Source organism: Homo sapiens, chromosome 15 (assembly GCF_000001405.40).
Source record: "Homo sapiens chromosome 15, GRCh38.p14 Primary Assembly".
NCBI classification, from domain to species: Eukaryota; Metazoa; Chordata; class Mammalia; order Primates; family Hominidae; genus Homo; species Homo sapiens.
Window position 1 is genome coordinate 55510581 of NC_000015.10, and position 21704 is coordinate 55532284.

Consider the following 21704-nt stretch of genomic DNA (forward strand, 5'->3'; position numbering starts at 1 on the left):
CCAAAACATTAAACTGTTGAAAAAATGTATTAAAGTATATCAGTATATTTAACCACATTAATTTTGAAATACAATTAATATTATTCATGAAATATTAAACCATTACCCTGTACGTGTAGCGGGACGAACCACAGACAAGAACCCCTCAGACGACACCGAGTTGTGGAAGGAAAGGGCTTTATTCAGCTGGAAGCATCAGCAGACTCACGTTTCCAAAAACCGAGCTCCCCGAGTGAGCAATTCCTGTCCCTTTTAAGGGCTTACAACTCTAACGGGGTCCGCGTGAGAGGGTCGTGATCAATTAAGCAAGCAGTGGGTACGTGACTGGGAGCTGCATGCACCGGTCATCAGAACGGAATAAAACAGGACAGGGATTTTCACAATGTTTTTCCATACAATGTCTGAAATCTATAGATAACACGAGCAGTTAGGTCAGGGGTTGATTCTTAACTACCAGGCCCAGGGCGTGATGCTGGGCTATCTGCCTGTGGATTCCATTTCTGCCTTTTAATTTTTACTTCTTTCTTTGGAGGCAGAAATTGGGCATAAGACAATATGAGGGGTGGTCTCCTCCCTTATTCCCCCACTTTGAGAACCTCAGTCAATTAGTGGGAGTTCTCACTTTCATCCTCACTACCCATGTATTCTTGCAAGACAGATCGATAGTGATTCATATAGTACAGTTGTTCTGAAGCATTTTGGTGAACTAAGGTAGCGATGAAGCTTTTTATCATTTGAAGAAGTACAGGTAGCAAACAAGGGAGCAGTAAGCAGGTTCCTATTACTAATATAACTCCTATTATAAGAGTTTTAAATCCTCCTAACACTGGGAACCATTTTCCAAACATGGCCCCAGGATCAAATCCATGCCACACTTGCATGGGCACATGTGACAGTTTTATCATATCTCTGACTATGTCTTCAACTACTTGCCCTTGATCATCTACGTGTAGACAGCAATTAGTAAGGTTAAATTTCCCACAGACCCCTCCTTCAGCTGCTAGCAAGTAGTCAAGAGCCAATCTATTTTGATAGATAGCATTTCTCATCTGAGTCTCTTGACAGGCCAGAATAGTCAAGGCTCTGTCGGTTTTATTAGTGATTCTTTCTTTCTTTTCTTTTTTTTTTTTTTTTTGAGATGGAGTCTCACTCTGTCGCCCAGGCTGGAGTGCAGTGGCACAATCTCGGCTCGCTGCAAGCTCTGCCTCCCAGGTTCACGCCATTCTCCTGCCTCAGCCTCCCAAGTAGCTGGAACCACAGGCACCCGCCACCACCCCTGGCTAATTTTTTGTATTGTTAGTAGAGACGGGGTTTCACCATGTTAGCCAGGATGGTCTCAATCTCCTGACCTCGTGATCCACCTGCGTTGGCCTCCCAAAGTGCTGGGATTACAGGTGTGAGCCACCGCGCCCAGCCCATATTAGTGATTATTTCTAAGACAGCTTGTAACCATATGATTTGGTTGAGCATGTAAATGGGGGTCTAGTATCCCCATGAACCATCTCGTCCCCAAGTAGCAGGTCCATAATATTGTATGATTCTCTCTGGGGGCCATTCATTATCTTTCCAATTTCCTATAGCTATGCTTCTTTTTTCATGGGAAGCATAGACAGGGAAGCCCAGGAGTTCGCCTGTCTTTATGGACAGTAGGAAGAAAGATGGTTTAATAGTGCCAGTAATACAACTACCTGCCCACTGGCCAGGTAATTTAGCGTAAGCTCTATGCCCACATAGCCAGTATAATCCAGTGGGGGCTGTCCAGTCCTAGTGGGACTCCAGGTGGGTCCACATGGTTTGCAACCTTGGGAATTTACTAAATGGATTCCTTTCTGTGTGATTTGAACTCCACCAAGTGACTGTTTTTGTGGTACCATTATACAGTTTCTGTCCCAGACAACTAAGTTGTCCTAAGGGGTGAGTGAATTATTTTCCTTCTCTAGCTATGCAATATTGTCCAATAATTGAGGCTTCAGGGTCCAGAAATTATCAAGGTGACTCTTTTGAGCTGGGAATTCATTGGGAACTGGGTCTGTAGGTACTAATTCTTGGGCTTCCCATGGCCATTGATCTCCCATCACAGTTCCTCCACATACATAACATGAAGTGACACTGAGAGACTGGGCTACATGCTTGGCTAATTGCAAAAACAAATTTCTTGTTTTTCCTGGAATTTCTGGTACTGGCACATTTAGTTCATCTTAGAAAGTTTGAAACACTGGCTGAGCAGAGCGTTTGTAAACTTCTCCTCGAACTAAGATATTTACTCAAGGATCCAGTCCTGCCCCATCGATTCCTAAGGTCACATGCTCCCCTCTTTTCCAGCAAGGATCAAGGGGATTGGTTGTTGCTAGCTCTAAGGGGTTACATTGTCCCTTAGTACAGGAAGGGCCACTTTTTCCTTTCTGAAGTGGACTGGATCCTTTTCATTTTTTTATCCAAGTGGCCTAAATGACACAAGACCAGTGTTCACATTCATTTCCACACAGTCCTAATTCATGACAAATGTACTTATTTTCAGTCATATCGCCTTTTTCCCAAAAGAGCCACATCCCTTTCCTAATTTACTGCCACTAATGACAGCACAGGCATCAAATTTCAAGATTATGTGTTTGGGCACCCCTTTCTCTTCTGTTCTGGCTATTACTTTACTTGTATCATTTACGCGTCCCCACTAGTCTTCAGCCCTTAATCTTATTTCAAAAACCGTCAGCCACAAACGCCGGCCCATTATCTAAGCCAATTCGTAAGGGCAGTCCAAACCTAGGAATAAGGTCTCAGGGAAGCACACGGGTTACTTCGTAGGCCTTTTCAGTTTCGTGTTGGATAAGCTCAGAGGGGTCATAACACACAGCTGGCCGGTCGTTTCCTAGGCTACATACCTTGTACTGAGTGTCAGTATATAAACATGTTCCTTTTAAAGTTCCTAGGCATTCACAGTAACTATAGAACAGAAAGATTGTTTTAACTTGTTGCCTTACCTCAGTAACCTGATGTATACACTGAGAGCAGTCCTCCATGCGGGGAAAATCAGTGGAAGTTTTTACTATACAAGTCCAAATTATAAGGAAAATGAGTCCCACGATGATTCTCCTCATGCTTCGGCCGTGCGTAGACCAGTCAGCTTCCGGGTGTGACTGGAGCAGGGTTTGTCGGCCTCCTCAGAGTCACTTCGCAGGGGTTGTCCGGGCTCGGTTTTGCCTCCCAGGTTTCAGCGGCTGCCAGTTTCACATGGCTGTGGTGGATCCAGGCTGGGATTCCTTCTACCTTTACAGCCGTGGGGGTGGTCAGGATGACGGTCTGAGGTCCTTTCCACCATGGCCGCAAAGGGGCTACGTTCCAGTCCTTGATCCACACACGATCAACTGGAAAGAAAGGATGAACTGGGGAGAACAAGCTGACAGGACACCTCTCATTTACCCAAGTCGAGATTGTCTGTGTAATTTTTCCCAAAGCCTGTAGCTGTCGCTGTAACTCAATGTCACCTAACTCTCGGGGAGTGCCTGGAAGTCCCCGTAGTATAGTAGGAGGCCTATGATACAGTATTTCATAAGGGGAGTATCCTGTTTTCTTAGAAGGGGTGCATCTAATTTTAAACAATACCATAGGAAGGGCCTGTATCCATTTTAATCCTGTTTCCTGACGTGCTTTCCCTAAACCATTTTTGATAGTCCGATTAATTCGCTCCACCTTTCCGAAACTCTGAGGTCAGTAGGCGGCACGCAGCTTCCAAGTGATTCCTAATGCCTTTGCTGTCTTCCGTACCAAGTCAGCCACAAACGCCGGCCCGTTATCTGAGCTGATTCATAAGGGCAGTCCAAACCTAGGAATAAGGTCTCGGAGAAGCACAAGGGTTACTTCGTAGGCCTTTTCGGTTCGTGTTGGGGAAGACTCCGCCCACCCAGAGTAAGTACACACAAGAACCAGCAAATACTTGTTACCTCTACATTTTGGCATTTCTGTGAATTCCACCTGAAGATCCTCAAAAGGAGCTACTCCGTAAGCTTATAGGCCGGGCAGAACAGTGGGGCCTTGCCTTGCGTTCTGCTGTCTGCAAGTAACGCACCGTTGTGCTACTGCTTTGGCAAGGGCTGGCAAGTGTAGAAGTACCGGCCTAACAACTTTTCAAGTGACTCTTGACCTAGATGAGTGGTTTCATGCATGGCCAGTATGATTGTGGCTCCCAGCAACTGCGGCACAGCTTCCCTCCCATCTGGCAGTCTGATCCATCCTTCTTTTATTACTTGCCCCCTTCTGTGTTGAAACATTCTTTTTCTTCCTTAGAATAGGTAGGTACCAGGTCAGGTGTTTGAGGGAGTAAGGAGGCTGCTACCGATGCCCAGTAAGGGGTAGATGCTGCTTTTTGAGCTTCTGAGTCAGCTCGGGAGTTTCCTAAGGCCACTGAAGTGGAGGTTCGCTGGTGTCCCCTGCAGTGCATGACTGCCACTCTCTGAGGTTTCCACACTGCCTCTAATAATTGTAGAATTTCTTGTTGATATTTTATGTCCTTTCCCCCAGAGTTTAACCGGCCCTTTTCCTTATATAATGCTCCACGCACTTGGAGGGTTAGAAAGGCATATCGAGAGTCAGTGTCGATGTTTACAGTCTTACCTTCACTGAGTTCTAGAGCCCAAGTTAAAGCAGTGAGCTCAGCCTTCTGGGCTGACGTCCCTGTGGCAACAGTTTGGCTTCAATGATAGCATCCAAAGTTACCACCACATATCCTGCATGTCTTTCTCCTTGTGGGTTGATGAAGCTGCTCCCATCCACGTATAACTCCCAGTCTACTGATGCCCATGGCTGGTCCTGAAAGTCAGGTCTGCTAGAACAAACTGAGTCCAACACTTCTACACAGTTATGCTCGACTGGGCTCTCATACTGGGAGCAGGGTGGTGGGATTTAGGGTGTTACAGACTTCAGTGGTTATGTGGGAATTTTCACACAGCCAGCTTTGGTACTTGGTTAATCTAGCGTTTGTTAGCTGATGCTGTCCTTTGGTATTCATCAAAGTTACCACAGCACGGGGGGCCTTTATATTCAGGTTTTGCCCAAGGGTTAGTTTATCTCCTTCTTGTGCTAACAGGGCTGTTGCTGCCAGGGCCCTTAGACATGGGGCCCAGCCTTTAGAAACCCCATCTAGTTGTTTTGAGAGATAGGCTACTGGCCTTGGCCAGGGCCCCACAGTCTGGGTTAAAACTCCAACTGCCATTTTATCTCTTTCTGACACATACAGTGTAAAGGGCTTTGTCAAATCTGGTAGTCCTAGGACTGGGGCCGACATAAGGTTTTCCTTTAACTCACGAAAGGCTTGCTGTTGTAGAGGTCCCCATTCAAAAGACTCCCGGTCGCCCCCCTTTGTAACTCCATACAAAGACTTGACCAGTACAGCAAAGTTTGGAATCCATAATCTGCAAAACCCCACAGCTCCCAGGAATTCCCTTACTTGCCTTCTGGTTTTAGGTTCCTGTAGGCTGCAGATGACCCGCTTTCTTTCTGACCCCAGGCTGCGCTCCCCTTTCCGAATAGCGAATCCCAGGTAGTGTACCTGCTGTCTGCAGATCTGAGCTTTCTTCTTGGACACCTTATACACACAGTTCTCCAGGTGCTGAAGCAGGGCATCCGTCCCCTTCGCACACCCAACTGCCATGGCATGTTCCAGCAGAAGGTCATCCGTGTACAGGAGCAAGACGCAGCCTAGGGCATAAGACAATATGAGGGGTGGGCTCCTCCCTTATACATGTGAATCAAATGTTACACGGTAGTTATAAATTAAGCTAAGAAAGTATTTAATAAAATAAACTCTATTTCCTTACATAGTCTGAATATGCATTCATAATGACCTGGAAGGCCAAATTTACATTTGGAATTCTCAGTCTCCTTGGGGTTTCATGCAGGAACATAGCAGAGCTAACAGCCTGTCATTGGACATAGAGATGTACACTCAAGACTCACAGGCCACCCTCAGAAGGACTAGCCAGAGAAAAGACTCCGGGAAGTAGCCTGGGGCTGTTGGGCAGGGATTCGAGGTAGCCAAACCATGATGTAGAAGGGTGAGCAGGTTGCAGGTGAACAGCTTCCTTACACTTGGAGAAAGTGCAACTGGAAGTGGTTCAGAGAGGCGGCCTTTAAACCAGGGGGCTCAGGATCTAAGGTCAGGAATGTTGGGAATGTTAACATCTTTCCAGGGTAAAATCCTTTTTTTTTTTTTTAATTCCTTAGCATCAAAATTTGGTCCTCTAATCAAGTGTTTGTAACTGGACAAATTGGGTTAGTATGCCTAGTCTACTTTTCTTTTTTTTTTTTTTAATTATCGTTATTTTTTTTTTTAGTGACAGGGTCCCACTCTGTCACCCAGGCAGGAATCCAGTGGCACTGTCATCATAGCTCACTGCAACCTGGGCAGAAGCCTCCCTCCCACCTCAGCCTCCCAAAGTGCTGGAATTTCAGGCGTGCACCACTACACTCAGCCAATTCTACTTTTATTAGCTGTATGACCCTGAGTAAGGTTCTCCCCCCAAGCCTCAGTTTCCTTATCTGTAAAATGCAAGCAATAATATCTATATGTAGGGTATTGAAAGGATTAATTATGATTTTGTGTAAAGCCCTCATATTATCAATACTTTATTCAGACATTTGAGCAGATCTATCGTTTTCTTCTTGGACTTTACCAGAAGCATTTTTTTTTTTAACTTTTCTGTAGAGACAGGGTCTTTATATTTTTCCCAGGCTGGTTTTGAACTCTTGGCTTTAAGCAATCTTCCCACTTCAGCCTCCCAATGTGTTGGAATTACAAGCACGAGCCACCATGCCCAGCCACAGTCATTTTTCTGATTCACATCCTGACAGACATGAAATGGTTTTTTCTATCTGAGTGAGAACAAAACTGAAGCTTTTAATATTCACGAACTGAATGCTTTTGAATTTGATAATTATACCTATGATAGTGTGTTCGGTCATTTTTGCATGCTATAAATACAAATGGATAATTTATAAAGAAAACATGTTTAATTGGCTAATGGTTCTGCAGGCTTTACAAGAAGCGTAGTGTTGCCATCTGCTTCTGGTGAGGCCTCAGAAAGCTTACAATCATGGTGGAAGGCAACAGAAAGCTAGCATGTCCCATAGTGAGAGTGGGAGCAAGAGAGACAGGAGGAGGTGCCACAGACTTTTAAACAACCAGATCTTGGGTGAACTCAGAGCAAGAATTCGCTCATCACCAAAGGGACGGTGCTAAGCTATTCACAAGGGATCCTCCCCCATGATCCAAACACCTCCCAGCAGGCCCTAATTTCAACACTGAGGATTCCATTTCAACATGAGATTTGGAGGGGACAACATCCAAATCATATCAGATAGGTGCCACAAATCCAATCAACCTCAGAGTCCTAAATATCTCTCAGATCCATCCACTTTTCACTGCCTCTGTCTTAATTTCTTGACGTATCAATAGCTGAGGATATCAATTCTATAGTCTTCTGCAATGCCCTAAGTGTTTCCTCCTTAGATTGAGGCAATCTTTCTTTCTTTTTTTCTTTTCCTTTCTTTTCTTTCTTTCTTTCTCTCTTTCTTTCATTCTCTCTCTCTCTCTCTCTTTCTTTCCTTCTTTCTTTCTTTTCCTTCCTTCCTTTCTTTCCTTCCTTCTTTCTTTCTTTTCCTTCCTTCCTTCTTTCTTTTCCTTCCTTCCTTCCTTTGTTTCTTTCTTTTTTTCTTCTTTCTTTCTTTTTTTTTCTTTCTGAGAGATGGGATCTCGCTCTGTTGACCAGGCTGGTCTTGAACTCCTGGCCTCAAGCGATCCTCTCATCTTGGCCTCCCAAAGTGCTGTGAGCCACTGCGCCCAGCCAAGACCCTTTCTAACCTACAGCTTATAGCAAAGGCTTCAGGTGAGCATGAGAGAAAAGCAGAAATAACCTGCCGATGATAATACTGAATGCCTGATGCTAAATGAAAATGGAGAAGAGAAAAACTCTCTACTGGTATACAATATATAACTGTTTAAAAAGGATTTGGTCAATATTTTCCTCAAAGGAAAGAACATACTATGGATAGTGAAGACATTGAAAAATTATGCTAAGTGCATAATCTCTGAAACATGTTTATATTGGTACTATTTACCTAAAAATTGAACTAGAAATGGTTGAACTTTAAATTTGACAGCTTTTCCCATGCAGTTCTTACAATAATGTTCTGCTACTTCAGAAATATGAAATATATCAGGCAATTTCAATTATTTTTACCATTCCTTTTTGAGTAAAGAATAAATCTAGTGGCAAGATCACGCCATTGCACTCTAGCCTGGCAATGGAGTGAGGCTCTATCTCACAAAAAAAAAAAAAAAAAGAATAAATCTTCATGATTTTTAGGGGCCTCTTGGGAAAACTCAAAAACAGTTAGGTCTAAAAGACATCTTGAATTTTTGAAAATATAATTTAGGGTTCGATCTTGGAAAAGCATAATCAAAAAGTTATCATAGCAGAATTTGTCACTTGATTAAGAAAAAATCATAGAAATCTGAGAACAATGAATTATTTTAACTTGACTACCTATAAATCAAGGTTGGCACAGGAGTTGACACTAGAGAAAAGAAAAATATAGGGTGAAAAAAATCCTAAAAGATAACACAATTGTAAGGAACTTCAGCTTTTTCAGCATGAGTACTTTGTTTTTTGTTTTTGTTTTTAAGTACTGTAATCAAGGCCATGACAAAATCAGAAAACTTTTCTTGTGAGATATAAAATTGCAGGCTGGGCACAGTGGCTCACACCTATAACCCTAGCACTTTGGGAAACTGAGGTGGGCAGAGCACTTGACGCTTGAGCTCAGTAGTTTGAAACCAGCCTGAGCAACATAGTGAGATAATGTCTCTAAAAAAAAAAAAAAATTACTCAGGCGTGGTGGCTCACACCTGTAGTCCCAGCTACTCAGGGAGCTTAGGTGGGAGGATTGCTTGAGTACAGGAATGGAAGGCTGCAATGATCCATGTTGGCACCACTGCACTCCAGCCTGGGTGACAGAGCAAGACCCTGTCTCAAAAAAATAAAGTTTCATTATCTGAGTAGATTAAATTGAAGGTAAAAAAATAACCTGCCTGTGGTTAACAACAGACTGAAGGCTCTGAAACCAATTTATCATTTTAACATAAGGGAAAAAATAAATTATAATTTTGTATTAACCTAAACTTTAGGCAGTTAAAAACTTTACATTTTTACTTTATCTTAAATTTCTACTCGTAAAACTCATAAAAATTGGGCAAAACTTACTAACAGTTGTAATAAATTTTATTGCTTCTTTTCAGGCTCATTATCTGTAGTTATGATAAACCAAGGCAAATAAAGTTCACTGTTTGCATGACTTTAATTTTCCTCACCATCCAAGTTTCATCCTTTACTATCTTCTTTAACATTCTACACCAAACACTTTGCTTTAAATAATAGTGTTCTCTTCATACTTCTCTGTCACACTGCACCTGCAATAATCTCTACCACTTGTATTATTTAGAACTGTAATCAAAGAAGCTACTTTTACTTCATGGAAACTACTAAGAAGTGGCAATTGAGAACTATTTGTTACATATAAGAAGCATTTAGTAGCCCAGAAAAGCTCATAAGTTCACATAATGCAACCTCATATGTCCACACACATCCCTTTCACACATTGAAGTGGAAAAAATTAACACGCTCATTAGTAAGACTCAAAGAACCACTCTATAACTTATAAAAATAAAATCCAAAAGCATGTGTACGAAATAACAACTGAGATTGGTCTGGGGATTCTATATTACTTAGAAATTATCAAAGCAGGCCGGGCACGATGGCTCACACCTGTAATCCTAGCACTTTGGGAGGCCGAGGCAGGCGGATCACGAGGTCAGGAGACCGAGACCATCCTGGCTAACACGGTGAAATCCCATCTCTACTAAAAATACAAAAAAATTGGCCAGGTGTGGTGGCGGGTGCCTGTAGTCCCAGCTACTCGGGAGGCTGAGGCAGGAGAATGGTGTGAACCCGCGAGGCGGAGCTTGCAGTGAGCCGAGATTGTGCCACTGCACTCCAGCCTGGGCGACAGAGCGAGACTCCATCTCAAAAAAAAAAAAAAAAAAGAAATTATCAAAGCATTCAAAGATTATTTATGACTTAATTGAATATAGTTCAGAATCTTAAAGTGAATGTTTGGCTCCCACTTATCAGTGAGAACATGTGGTATTTGGTTTTCTGTACCTATGTTAACTCGCTTAGGATAATGACTTCCAACCCCACCCATGTTGCTACAAAGGACACGATCTTGTCCTTTTTTATGGCTGCATAATGTTCCATGGTATATATGGACCACTTTTTCTTTATCCAGTCTACCATTGATGGGCATTTAGGTTGATTCCATGTCTTTGCTATTGTGAATAGTACTGCAATGAACATATGCATGCATGTGTCTTTATGCATGTGTCTTTATGATCTTGGCAGAATGATTTATATTCCTCTGAGTATATACCCAGTAATGGGATTGCTGGGTCAAATGGTAGCTCTATTTTAAGTTCCTTAAGAAATCTCCAGACTGCTTTCCACAGTGGCTGAACTAATTTACATTCCCACCAACAGTGTATAAGCATTTGCTTTTCTCCACAACCTCACCAGCATCTGTTATTTTTTGACTTTTTATTAGTAGCCATTCTGACTAGTGTGAGATGGTTATCTCATTGTGGTTTTGATTTGCATTTCTCTAATCATTAGTGATATTGAGCATTTATTCATATGCTTATTGGTGTGTATGTCTTCTTTTGAGAAGTATCTGTTCATGTCCTTTGCCATTTTTTTAATGGGGTCATTTGATTTTTGCTTGTTGATCTAAGTTCTTTATAGATGCTGAATATTAGACTTTTGTCAGATGCATAGTTTGCAAAGATTTTCTTCCATTCTCTAGGTTGCCTGTTAACTCTGTTGATAGTTTCTTTTGCTGTGTAGAAGCTCTTTAGTTTAATTAGGTCCCTATTGTCAGTCTTTGCTTTTGTTGCAATTGCTTTTGGAATTCTCATCATGAAGTCTTTGTCAGGTCTGATGCCCAGAAGAGTATTTCCTAGGTTTTCTTCTAGGGTTTTTATACTTTTAGGTTTTACACTTCAGTCTTTAATCCATGTTGAGTTCATTTTTGTACATGGTGAAACATAGGGTTCCAGTTTCAACATTCTGTATATGGCTAGCCAGTTATCCTAGCACCATTTTTTGACTAGTGAGTTCTTTTCCCACTGCTTGTTAGCATCAGCTTTGCTGAAGATCATATGGTTGCAGATGCGTGACTTTATCTGTGGGTCCTCTAACTTGTTCCATTGCTTTATATGTCTGTTTCTGTACTAGCACCATCCTGTTTTTGTTACGGAAGCCTTGTAGTATAGTTTGAAGTCAGGTAGTGTGATGTCTCTGGCTTTGTTCTTTTTGCTTAGGATTGCTTTGGCTATACAGGCTCTTTTTTGGTTCCAAATGAATCTTAAAATAGTTTTTTTCTAATTCTGTGGAAAATGTGAGGAGTTTGATAGGAACAGCATCGAATCTGTAAATTGCTTTGAGCAGTATGACCATTTTAACAATATTGATTCTTCCTGTCCATGAGCATGGGATGTTTTTCCGTTTGTTTGTTTTGTCTCTGATTTCTTTCAGCACTGTTTTGTAATTCTCATTATAGAAATCTTTCACTTCCCTGGTTAGATGTATTGATATGGTTTGGCTGTGTCCCCACCCAAATCTCATCTTGAATTCCCACGTGTTGTGAGAGGGACCTGGAGGGAGGTAATTGAATCATGGGGGCAGGTATTTTCCATGCTGTTCTCATGAGAGAGAGTAAGTCTCACGAGATCTGATGATTATAAAAACAGGAGTTTCCATGCACAAGTGCTCCTCTCTTTGCCTGCCACCATCCACGTAAGATGTGACTTGCTCCTCCTTGCTTTCTACCGTGATTGTGAGCTTTCCCCAGCCACATGGAACTCTAAGTCCAATTAAACCTCTTTCTTTTGCAAATTGCCCAGTCTCAGGTATGTCTTTATCAGCAGCATGAAAACGGACTAATACATGTATTCCTAGGTGTTTTATTCTTTTTGTGGTTATTGTGAATGAGATTTTTTTTTTTAATTTGGCTCTCAGCTGGGACATTATTGGTGTGTAGAAATGCTCCTGAATTTTGTACATCGATTTTTTTTATCCTGAAACTTTGCTGAAGTTGTTTATCAGATCTGGGAGACTTTGAGGTTGTTTATCAGATTAGGAGATTTTGGGCAGAGACTGTAGGGTTTTCTAGGTATAGAATCATATTTTCTGTGAAGAGAGATAGTTTAGCTTCCTCTCTTCTTATTTTGATGTCTTTTATTTCTTTCTCTTGCCTGATTGCTCTATCTAGGAGCTCCAGTACTGTACTGAATAGGAGTGATAAGAGCAGGCATCCTTGTCTTGTTCCAGTTCTCAAGGGGAATACTTACAGCTTTTGCCCATTCAATATGATGTTGACTGTGGGTTTGTCATAGATGGCTCTTATTATTTTGAGGAATGTATCTTCAACGCCTGGTTTGTTGAGGGTTTTTAACATGAAAGTGTGTTGAGTTTTACTGAATGCCTTTTCTTCTTTATTGAGATGGTCATTTAGTTTTGTTTTTAGTTCTGTTTATGTGATAAATCACATTTATTAATTTACCTGTGTTGAACCAACCTTGCATCCCAGGGAAAAAGCCTACTTGGTTGTGGTGGATTCGCTTTTTGATATGCTACTGGACTTGGTTTGTTAGTATTTTGTAGAAGATTTTTGCACCTATCTTTACCAGAGATATTGACCTAAAGTTCTCCTTTTTGTTGTGTCTCTGCCAGGTTTTTGTATCACAATGATGCTGGCCTCATAGAATGAGTTAGGAAGGATACCCTCCTCCTCAATTTTTTGGAATAGTTTCAGTAGGATTGGTACCAGCTCTGCTTTATACATTTCGTAGAATGCAGTTGTGAATCCATGTGGTCCAGGGTCGGGTAGGATTTTCATTACTGATTCAGTTTCAGAACTCATTATTGATCTTTTTGGGGTTTCAATTTCTTTCTGGTTTAATCTTTGGAGGTTGTATGTTTCCTGGAATTTACCCATTTGCTGTAGGTTTTCTAGCTTGTGTGCATAGAGATGTTCATAATAGTTTCTGATGGTTTTTGTATTTCTATGGGGTTGGTGTTCATGTCCTCTTTGTCATTTCTGATTGCGTTTATTTGGATCTTCTCTCTTTTTTTATTAGTTTAGCTAACAGTCTATCAATCTTATTCTTTCGGAAAAGCAGCTTTTGGTTTTGTTGATCTTTTGTATGGCTTTTCTCATCTCCATTTTGTTCAGTTCAGCTCTGCTTTTGATTATTTCTTTTCTTCTGCCAGCGTTGGGGCTGGCTTTGTGTTTTTCTTCTAGTTTCTCTAGGTGTAAAGTTAGGTTGTTAATTTGAGATCTTTCTCACTTATTTAATTTTTTTTTTTTTTTTTTTTTTTTGAGACGGAGTCTTGCTCTGTCACCCAGGCTGGAGTGCAGTGGCGCGATCTTGGCTCACTGCAACCTCTGTCTCCTGGGTTCATGCCATTCTCCAACCTCAGCCTCCCGAGCAGGTGAGGTTCCATTTAATTGTCACCAGGCTGGAGTGCAGTGGCATGATCTCGGCTCACTGCAAGCTCCGCCTCCCGGGTTCAAGTGATTCTCCTGCCTCAGCCTCCCTAGTAGTTGGGACTACAGGCACTTGCCACCACGCCCAGCTAATTTTTGTATTTTTAGTAGAGACGGAGTTTCACGTTGTTGGCCAGGATGGTCTCAATCTCTTGACATTGTGATTCGCCTGCCTTGGCCTCCCAAAGTGCTGCTGGGATCACAGGTGTGAGCCACTGCGCCCAGCCTAAACTTTCCTCTTAACATTGCTTTAGCTATGTCCTAGAGATTCTGGTATTTTGTATCTTCATTTTCATTCATTTCAAATAATTTCTTAGTTTCTGCCTTAATTTTATTGTTTACCCAAAAGTCATTCCAGAGCAGATTATTTAATTTCCATTTAATTGTGTGGTTTTGAGAGATCTTCTTGGTAAATAAATAATAATAGAAATAAAATAATAGAAATAAAAATTTCTATTTTTATTGCATGGTGGTCTGAGAATGTGGTTGGTATGATTTTTTTTTATTTAGTTGAGAATTGCTTCATGGCTCAGCATGTGGTCAATTTCAGAGTGTATGCCATGTGCAGATGAGAAGAATGTATATTCTGCTTTTGTTGGGTGAAGTGTTCTGTAGATGTCTGTTAGGTCTATTTGGTCAAGTGTCAAGTTTAGATCCCAAATATCTTTGTCAGTTATTCTGCCTCAGTGATCTGTCCAATACTGTCAGTGGGCATTGAAGTCTTTCACTATTATTGTGTGGTTATCTAAGTCTCTTTGTAAGTCTGTAAGAAGTTGTCTTATGAATCTAGTGCTCCAGTGTTCGGTTAATATATATTTAGTCTAGTTAAATCTTCTTGTTGAACTGAGCTCTTTATCACTGTGTAATGCCTTCTTTGTCCTTTTTGATCATTCTTCATTTAAAGTCTGTTTTGTCTGAAATAAGAATTGCAGCTCCTACTCTTTTGTTTTCTGTTTACTTGAGAGATCTTTCTTCATCCCTTTACTTTGAGCCTGTGGGTGTCCTTGCATGTGAGATGGGTCTCTTGATGATAGCATACCACTGGGTCTTGCTTCTTTATCCAGCTTGCCACTCCATGCCCTTTAAGTGGGATTTTTAGCCCCTTTACATTCAAAGTTAGTATTGATGTGTGCTGATTTGATCACATCATTGTATTGTTAGGTGGTTGTTATGTAGACTTGAAGACTTGATTGCATATTTGCTTTAGTTTCAATGGTCAATATGCTTGAGTGTCTTTTTGTGGTGGTCAGTAATGGTCTTTCATTTCCCTGTTTAGCACTCCCTTAAAAACCTCTCGTAAGGCAAGTCTGGTGGTAATGAATTCCCTTAGCATTTGCTTGTCTGAAAAGGATTTTATTTCTCCTTCACTTATGAAGCTTCATTTGGCTGGATATGAAATTCTTGGTTGGAATTTCTTTTCTTTAAGGATGCTGACTATTAGCCCCAAGTTTTTCTGGCTTGTAGGATTTCTGTTGAAAGGTCCATTGTTAGCCTGATGGGGTTCCCTTTGTTGGTGACTTGCCCCTTCTCTCTAGCTGCCTTTAACATTTTTTCTTTCATGTTGACCTTGAAGAATCTAATGACTATGTGTCTTCAGGGTGATAGCCTTGAATAGTACCTTGCAGGGCTTCTCTAAATTTCCTGAATTTGAATGTCAACCTTTCTAGTAAGGTTGGGGAAATTTTCATGGTTAATATTCCCAAATATGTTTTCCAAGCTGCTTTCTCTCTCTTCTTCTCTTTCAGGGATGTCAATGGGTCATTGATTTGGTCTCTTTACATAATCCCATATTACTCAGAGGTTTTGCTTATTCAAAAAAATTCCTTATTTTTGTCTGATTGAATAATTTGAAGAACTGATTGTCAAGCTCTGAGATTGTTTCTTCAGCTTGGTTTATTATACTGTTAATACTTCTGATTGTATTATAAGATTCTTGTAGTGAGTTTTTCAGCTCTATCAGCTCAGTTTGGTTCCCTATATGGCTATTTCATCTTTCATCTCTTGAATCATTTTACTGGATTTCTTAGATTCCTTGGAATGGATTTCAGCTCTCTACTGAATCTCAATGATCTTCATTGCCATCCAGATTCTGAATTCTATGTCTGTCATTTCAGCCATTTCATTCTGGTTAAGAACTATTGCTGGGGAGCTAGCGCAGTCATTTGGAGGTAAGCAAACGCTATGGCTTTTAGAGTTGCCTGAGTTCTTGTACTGGTTCTTTCTCATCTGTGTGCTGATGTTCCTTAACTGTGGTGTAATTTCAATATAGCCAGTTGGATTTGTTTCTGGATGTTTTCAGAGGGCTGAGGCTTTGTGCAGGGTGTTTATTTGGGGCTGGATTTTTGTCCTTGGTTTCACAGGGTCTACTAACAGAAGTATTTTTGATGTTGAAGTTTGAGCTGTGATCCAGTAGATGGCGCTAACCATAGGGCCGGTAGCTCTTAGCCACGTGGCTCCTCTTTCATTTCCTCACATACGCAGCCATGCTCCCTGTCAGTGCTCTCTGAATGTGGGCTCCTCTTCCACTTGAGTGCTGGCCACAGATCTCGGCTTGGCACTCCAGGCCTGCACAACACAGCTTTGTGGCAAGCTCAGGCTTTTTGTTCCCTCCCCAGCTTGGGGGCAGCAGGGGCAGGAACCTTGGCAGTGGCAATGGTAGAGGGCCTTTCACTCGTCTCTTGGGTCTCTGCCCCAGAGAAACGCAGGGCCACTGCCAATCAGAACAATCAGCCCAAGGTGAGGAGGCTGCACTGTGGGCTCAAGTCTGGGATCCCTGCTTGGTGAATAGCAGGGGGATGGAGGGCCCATGGGGAAGAGTCTGACTTCTTCTCTGCAGGGCGGCTATGGCGTGCTGGAGGTGTGAGTAAAGCACTCAGGCTATTTTTTCCTTCCCCAGCCTGATGGCAGGAAGGGCAGATACTGCTACAGTAACAGAGGGGCTGTCAGTTGCCTGCAGAAGCTCCACCCTAGAAAAACACAAACCTACTGCAGGCTGTGCTACAGGCCCAAGCTGGGGGCCCTACCTGGTGAAAAGCAGTGGGTTGAGGGATTATAGGAAAGAGAGACTGGGCTCCTCCACATATGGGAGCTGCCAGCAAAGCAATTAGGCTCTTTGTTCCTTCCCCAGCCAGAGGGCAGCAAAGGTGGGTACCACTGCAGTGGCAATGGCAGACAGCCTGTGGATGGTCTCTGGGATTTCCTCCTCAGAGAAATGCAGAGCTGCAACGGATTGAAGTGATCAGGCAGGGCCTGGGAAGCTGTGCTGGGGGCCCAGGTCTGGAGGCCCCTAATGTACTGTTGATATTAAAAACTTTGTCAGAGGCCAGGAGCAGTGGCTCATGCCTGCAATTCCAGCACTTTGGGAGGGTAAGGCCAGATAATTGCTTGAGGCCAGGAGTTTGAGACCAGCATGGGCATCAAAGTGAGACCCCCATCTTTACAAAACAAATAAATTAGCCAGACATGGTGGCATGGACCTGTAGTCCTAGCTGCTCAGGAGGCTGAGATAGGATGATCACTTATACCCAGGAGTTTGAGGTTACGGTGAGCTATGATAGCACCACTGTGCTCCAGCCTGGGCAACAGAGCGAGACCTGTCTCTAAGAAGAAAACAAACCAAAACAAACAAATAACAAAAAAAAGTTTGTCAGAATTATAAACCAATCCACTTAAACAAAATTATTCACTGTTCCTCATCCTAAATATTACGTAGGAATAATATTAGCTTATCAGATTAAATCTGTATAAGAAATGTCAGAAATTCAAAGTAGCAATTCTCTTCGAAATGCAAATCAAACCCACAATGAGATAACATCTCACACCAGTAAGAATGGCTATTATTAAAAAGTCAAAAAATAATAGATGCTGGCAAGGTTGCAGAGAAAAGGGAACACTTATACACTGTTGGTGGGAATGTAACTTATTTCAGCCACTGTGGAAAGCAGTTTGGTGATTTCTCAAAGAACACAAAGCAGAATCACCATTCAACCCAGCAATACCATTATTGTGTATATACCCAAAGGAATATAAATAATTCTACCATAATGACACATGCACACATATGTCCATCACAGCACTATTCACAACAGCAAAGACATGGAATCAACCTAGATGCTCACGAATGGTGAACTGGATAAAGAAAATGTAGTACATATACACCATGGATTACTACGCAGCCATAAAAAAGAACAAGATCATGTTTTTTGCAGCAACATGGATGGAGCTGAAGGCCATTATTCTAAGTGAACTAACACAGGAACAGAAAACCAAATACTGCATGTTCTCACTTACAAGTGGGAGCTAAACATTAAGTGCATATAGACACAATGAAGGAAACAAGAGACACTAGGGCCTGCTTAAGAGTGAAGGGCGGAAGGAAGGTGAGGATCAACAAACTACCCACCCGGCGCTATGCTTATTACCTGAGTGATAAAATAATCTGTATACCAAATCTCCATGACACGCAATTTACCTATACAGCAAACCTGCACATGTATTCCTGAACCTGAAAAAAAAGGAACAAAAACAAAATTACCTTTATGTAAACAATCCATATTTTTAAAAAGAATAAAACTTGTATACTTGTATTTTTTCTTCACACTGATATAATCAGAAAAATATACGACTTTTTTGGTGTTTTTTTTTTTTTTTTTTTTTTTCCTGGAAACAGTCTCACTCTGTCTCTCAGGCTGGACTGCAGTGGTGCAATCTTGGCTCACTGCAAACTCTGTCTCCCAGGTTCAAGCATTTCTCGTGCTTCAGCCTCCCCAGTAGTAGCTGGAATTAAAGGCATGTGCCACCACACCCAGCTAATGTTTTTTTGTTTTTTTGTTTTTTTTTTTTAGTAGAGACGGGGTGTCACCATGCTGGCCAGGCTGGTCTTGAACTCCTGGCCTCAAGAGACCCACCCAACTCAGTCCCCAAAGTGCTGAGAGTACAGGCATGAGCCACTACACACGGCCTGATACAGTTATTTTTTAAACCCAAATTATCAGTCTAGTTTAATTGCATGAACTTGATTTCTTGTTTTTTTTTTTTTTTCTAAGTGCTTTTTTTTAAAGTGCTTTTGAGCTAGCAGCTTCTGTGAGAAGGACTTTTTTTTTTTAAGCAGGCTATCACATTTAAAGCATTAGACATTCAATTTATGTTGAGGAAATGTTGAGAATATTAGATTTATATAAGTGCTTTTCAGTTTCTCTAAAACGATTGTCATTTTAAGCCAGATAATTGTTTTGTCATGCAGGGCGGTCCTGAGCATTGTGAGCTGTGTGGCAGCACACCAAATCTCTACCCATTAGATGCCAAAAGCACCCCCAAATTGTAACAGCCCAAAATGTCTCCAGACATTGCCTAAAATCCCTGAGGAGAGAGTGGTGACATTGCTCCAAAACAATCATAACGGTACTCTTTAAAGAGTCTTCTAATTTATTTTACTTATACCCTCCCCCTCCACCCCCGCTGAGGTAGGAATATATCTCAAACTCACACAACCAGAGGTAAAGACTTTTCCCACTAGATGCTCAAAAACACAAGGCTCTTGCAGCTTCAGTTCAGCAAATTAGCAACAGATCCTAAGCAATCAAAGGACACAAACTCACCTGTCTGTTATCCTTTTCAGTGGACTGACTAGTTTGTGCACAGAGTTAAACCTGTGGAACTGTAAGTCCAATTAAAACTCTTTTTCTTCCCAGTCTCGGGTATGTCTTTATCAGCAGCGTGAAAATGGACTAATACAGTTATCAAGTCTCTTCAGTTTTCTCCAATCTCAAAAAGCTCCTTAGTCTTTGAAAGAGTACAGGCCTTACCTTTTGTAGAGTGATCCTTGAGCTGGATGTTTCCTTATGATCACACTCAGGTCATGCATTCATGGCAGGAATATCATGGAAATGAAACTATGCCCTTGTAAGAGTATCAGCCATAGTACGGACATATGCGGTTGACTGTTCCCACCACTGGTAACATTGGTCATCACCTGTCATATTGGTGTCTGCCAAGTTTCTTCACTGTAAAGTCATAATTTTCTTCTTTGTAATTGATTAGTGTTTTGTGGGAGACAGATAATCTGCAATCACACCAATATCCTATTTCTTATTCTTCCTGCAACTAGTCTTAGCCTCCATTGACATAAAGCTACTTATAGCATTTTCTACTTTATCTAAGATAATCATGTTTTTATTCCTAATATTGCTTGTTTGTATAATCTCTTTCTGTCCCATCTCTCTTATTACATGTTTATTAGTTTTTTGAAAGACTAGTAAAAATAACCTTTATTTTTGTTGATCTTCTCCCATTTTTCATTTCATTAACTTTTGCTCTTACATTTGTTTCCATTCTTCTACTTGTTATTCTTCAAACTCTTGAGTTAAATCATAATTCATTTTTTTAAAAGCTCCTTGGTTTTTATAGGTTCATTTAAGACTGCAAATTGGCCTTCCAAATATTGCGAGAGCTGTATCTTAGAATTTTAAAGTTAGGTTTACTGAGGTATAATTTACATGCAGTAAAATCCACTCGTTTGAGATATATTGTTCTAGAGTTTTGATCAATATAAACAGCTATGTAACCTCAACCACAACCAAGATATAAAATATTTCCATCTCACCAAAGTTTTCTCGTATTTCTTTGCAGTCAATTTCCTCCTCCTGTAACTGACTCAAGTTCAACTGCTCACTGTTAGAAGTCAAAGTATGAGAAATGAGGTGTGACCAAAGGGAAACAGCTTTTATTCAAACGCTAGCAGATGGGGAATGTCCAGACTCGTGCTCTTAACAGACTATTTCAAACTTTAGGCCGTGGACAGGGGTTTAAAGAGGGGAACTTGGAATGGAAGGCATGCAGGAATGGTGCTGGGTACGAGGTCTGTGTGTCTTGTTCCACTGGTTATCCTGAGTCATGGTCCACTTGGAGTGCAGGCTGGCATCATCTCAACAATGGTGAGGCTGTTGACTAACTGCTCTGAGGTAATCTCTAGAATTTCACACCTGGGTTTCCATGCCTGGTTTATCTCAAGATTAGCCCCTGCAACTTCTGGGCACATAATTAGATAAACTACCAGTGCACAAGAGTGTCTGGTGGGAAGGCAGGGAAACAAAGAGTATTAAGGTATGTTTCAAGGCTAAAAGGAAGAAAAGGAAGAAAAAAAAGTCTCAAAATGCATTTTGAACCTAAGCTACTCAGTTACATCCTCCCAGCCCCGATCCCTGGCAACCACTGAACTGAATTCTTTTCTTATTGTTTTGTCTTTTTCAGAATGTTATATAAGGAAATCATGTAGTATGAACCCTTTCGTTTTCTTCTTATTTAGCTCAATGCTTTGGAGATCCGTCTGTGCTGTTGTGTTTCATGCATTCTTTTTTTTTACTAAGTATTATATGATATACATGTACAAAGAGTCGTTTGTCCATTCTATAGTTGGTAGACATTTTGGTTGTTTCCAGTTTTTGGTAATTATGAATAAAACTGCTATAAACATTCAGGAGTAAATACTTAAAAATATAATTGCTGGGCCATATGATAGGTTTAAGTTTACTAATGTTATAAGAAACTACTAAACTACTTCAAAAGTACAAATTTTACATTTCTACCAGCAATGTATAAAAGTTTCCATTACTCTGCATATTCACCAGGACTGGGTATCAGTAGTTTTGTGGGCTTTTAAAACATTTTATTAAATCTAGTAGTTGTCTATTTGTACCTCACTACAGTTTTAATTTGCATTTGTCTGGTGACCAGTGATGTTAAGCATCTTTTCATGTGCTTATTTGTTTCACTCTTCGGTGATATGTCTGCTACATGTGTGTTATGTATTCTGGATACAAGAATCCTTTATGAGATATGTGCTTTTCAATTATTTTATTTTATTGTATGTTTGTCTTTTCATCCTTCACAATGTCTTTTAAATAATAGAAGTTTTGTGATAAAGCTCAGTTTAACAACATTTAAAATATTTGTTTGAGTCTTAACTAAGAAATAGTTTTCTAACCTAACACACAAAGCTTTTTGATTTTCTTCTAGAAATGTTATGGTTTTAGGTCTTAAATGTAGATCTGTGT

General features: G+C 41.0%; 1 protein-coding gene across 1 annotated transcript, besides 1 other annotated feature; it reads right to left on the reverse strand.

Moving 5' to 3' along the window:
* Positions 161 to 20348, reverse strand: LOC124903496 (uncharacterized mitochondrial protein AtMg00860-like). Its single transcript, XM_047433411.1, has 2 exons — positions 20255 to 20348; positions 161 to 5691 (listed from the first exon to the last, which is right to left on the reverse strand). The coding sequence occupies exon 2, from the start codon at positions 5642 to 5644 to the stop codon at positions 4871 to 4873; it is 774 nt and encodes a 257-aa protein (XP_047289367.1). The 5' UTR covers positions 5645 to 5691; positions 20255 to 20348; the 3' UTR covers positions 161 to 4870.
* Positions 16053 to 16102: a silencer, noted in NCBI's record as "silent region_6454". NCBI's record gives its function as "represses an Ori minimal core promoter by ATAC-STARR-seq in GM12878 lymphoblastoid cells {active_cell/tissue: GM12878}" and the evidence as "EXISTENCE:reporter gene assay evidence [ECO:0000049][PMID:35858748]".
* Positions 20349 to 21704: the final 1356 nt, after the last annotated feature.

Coding starts and splice junctions, on each gene's coding strand:
- LOC124903496 (XM_047433411.1), bottom strand. CDS start 5,644: ATGGCAGTTGGGTGTGCGAAGGGGACGGATGCCCTGCTTCAGCACCTG.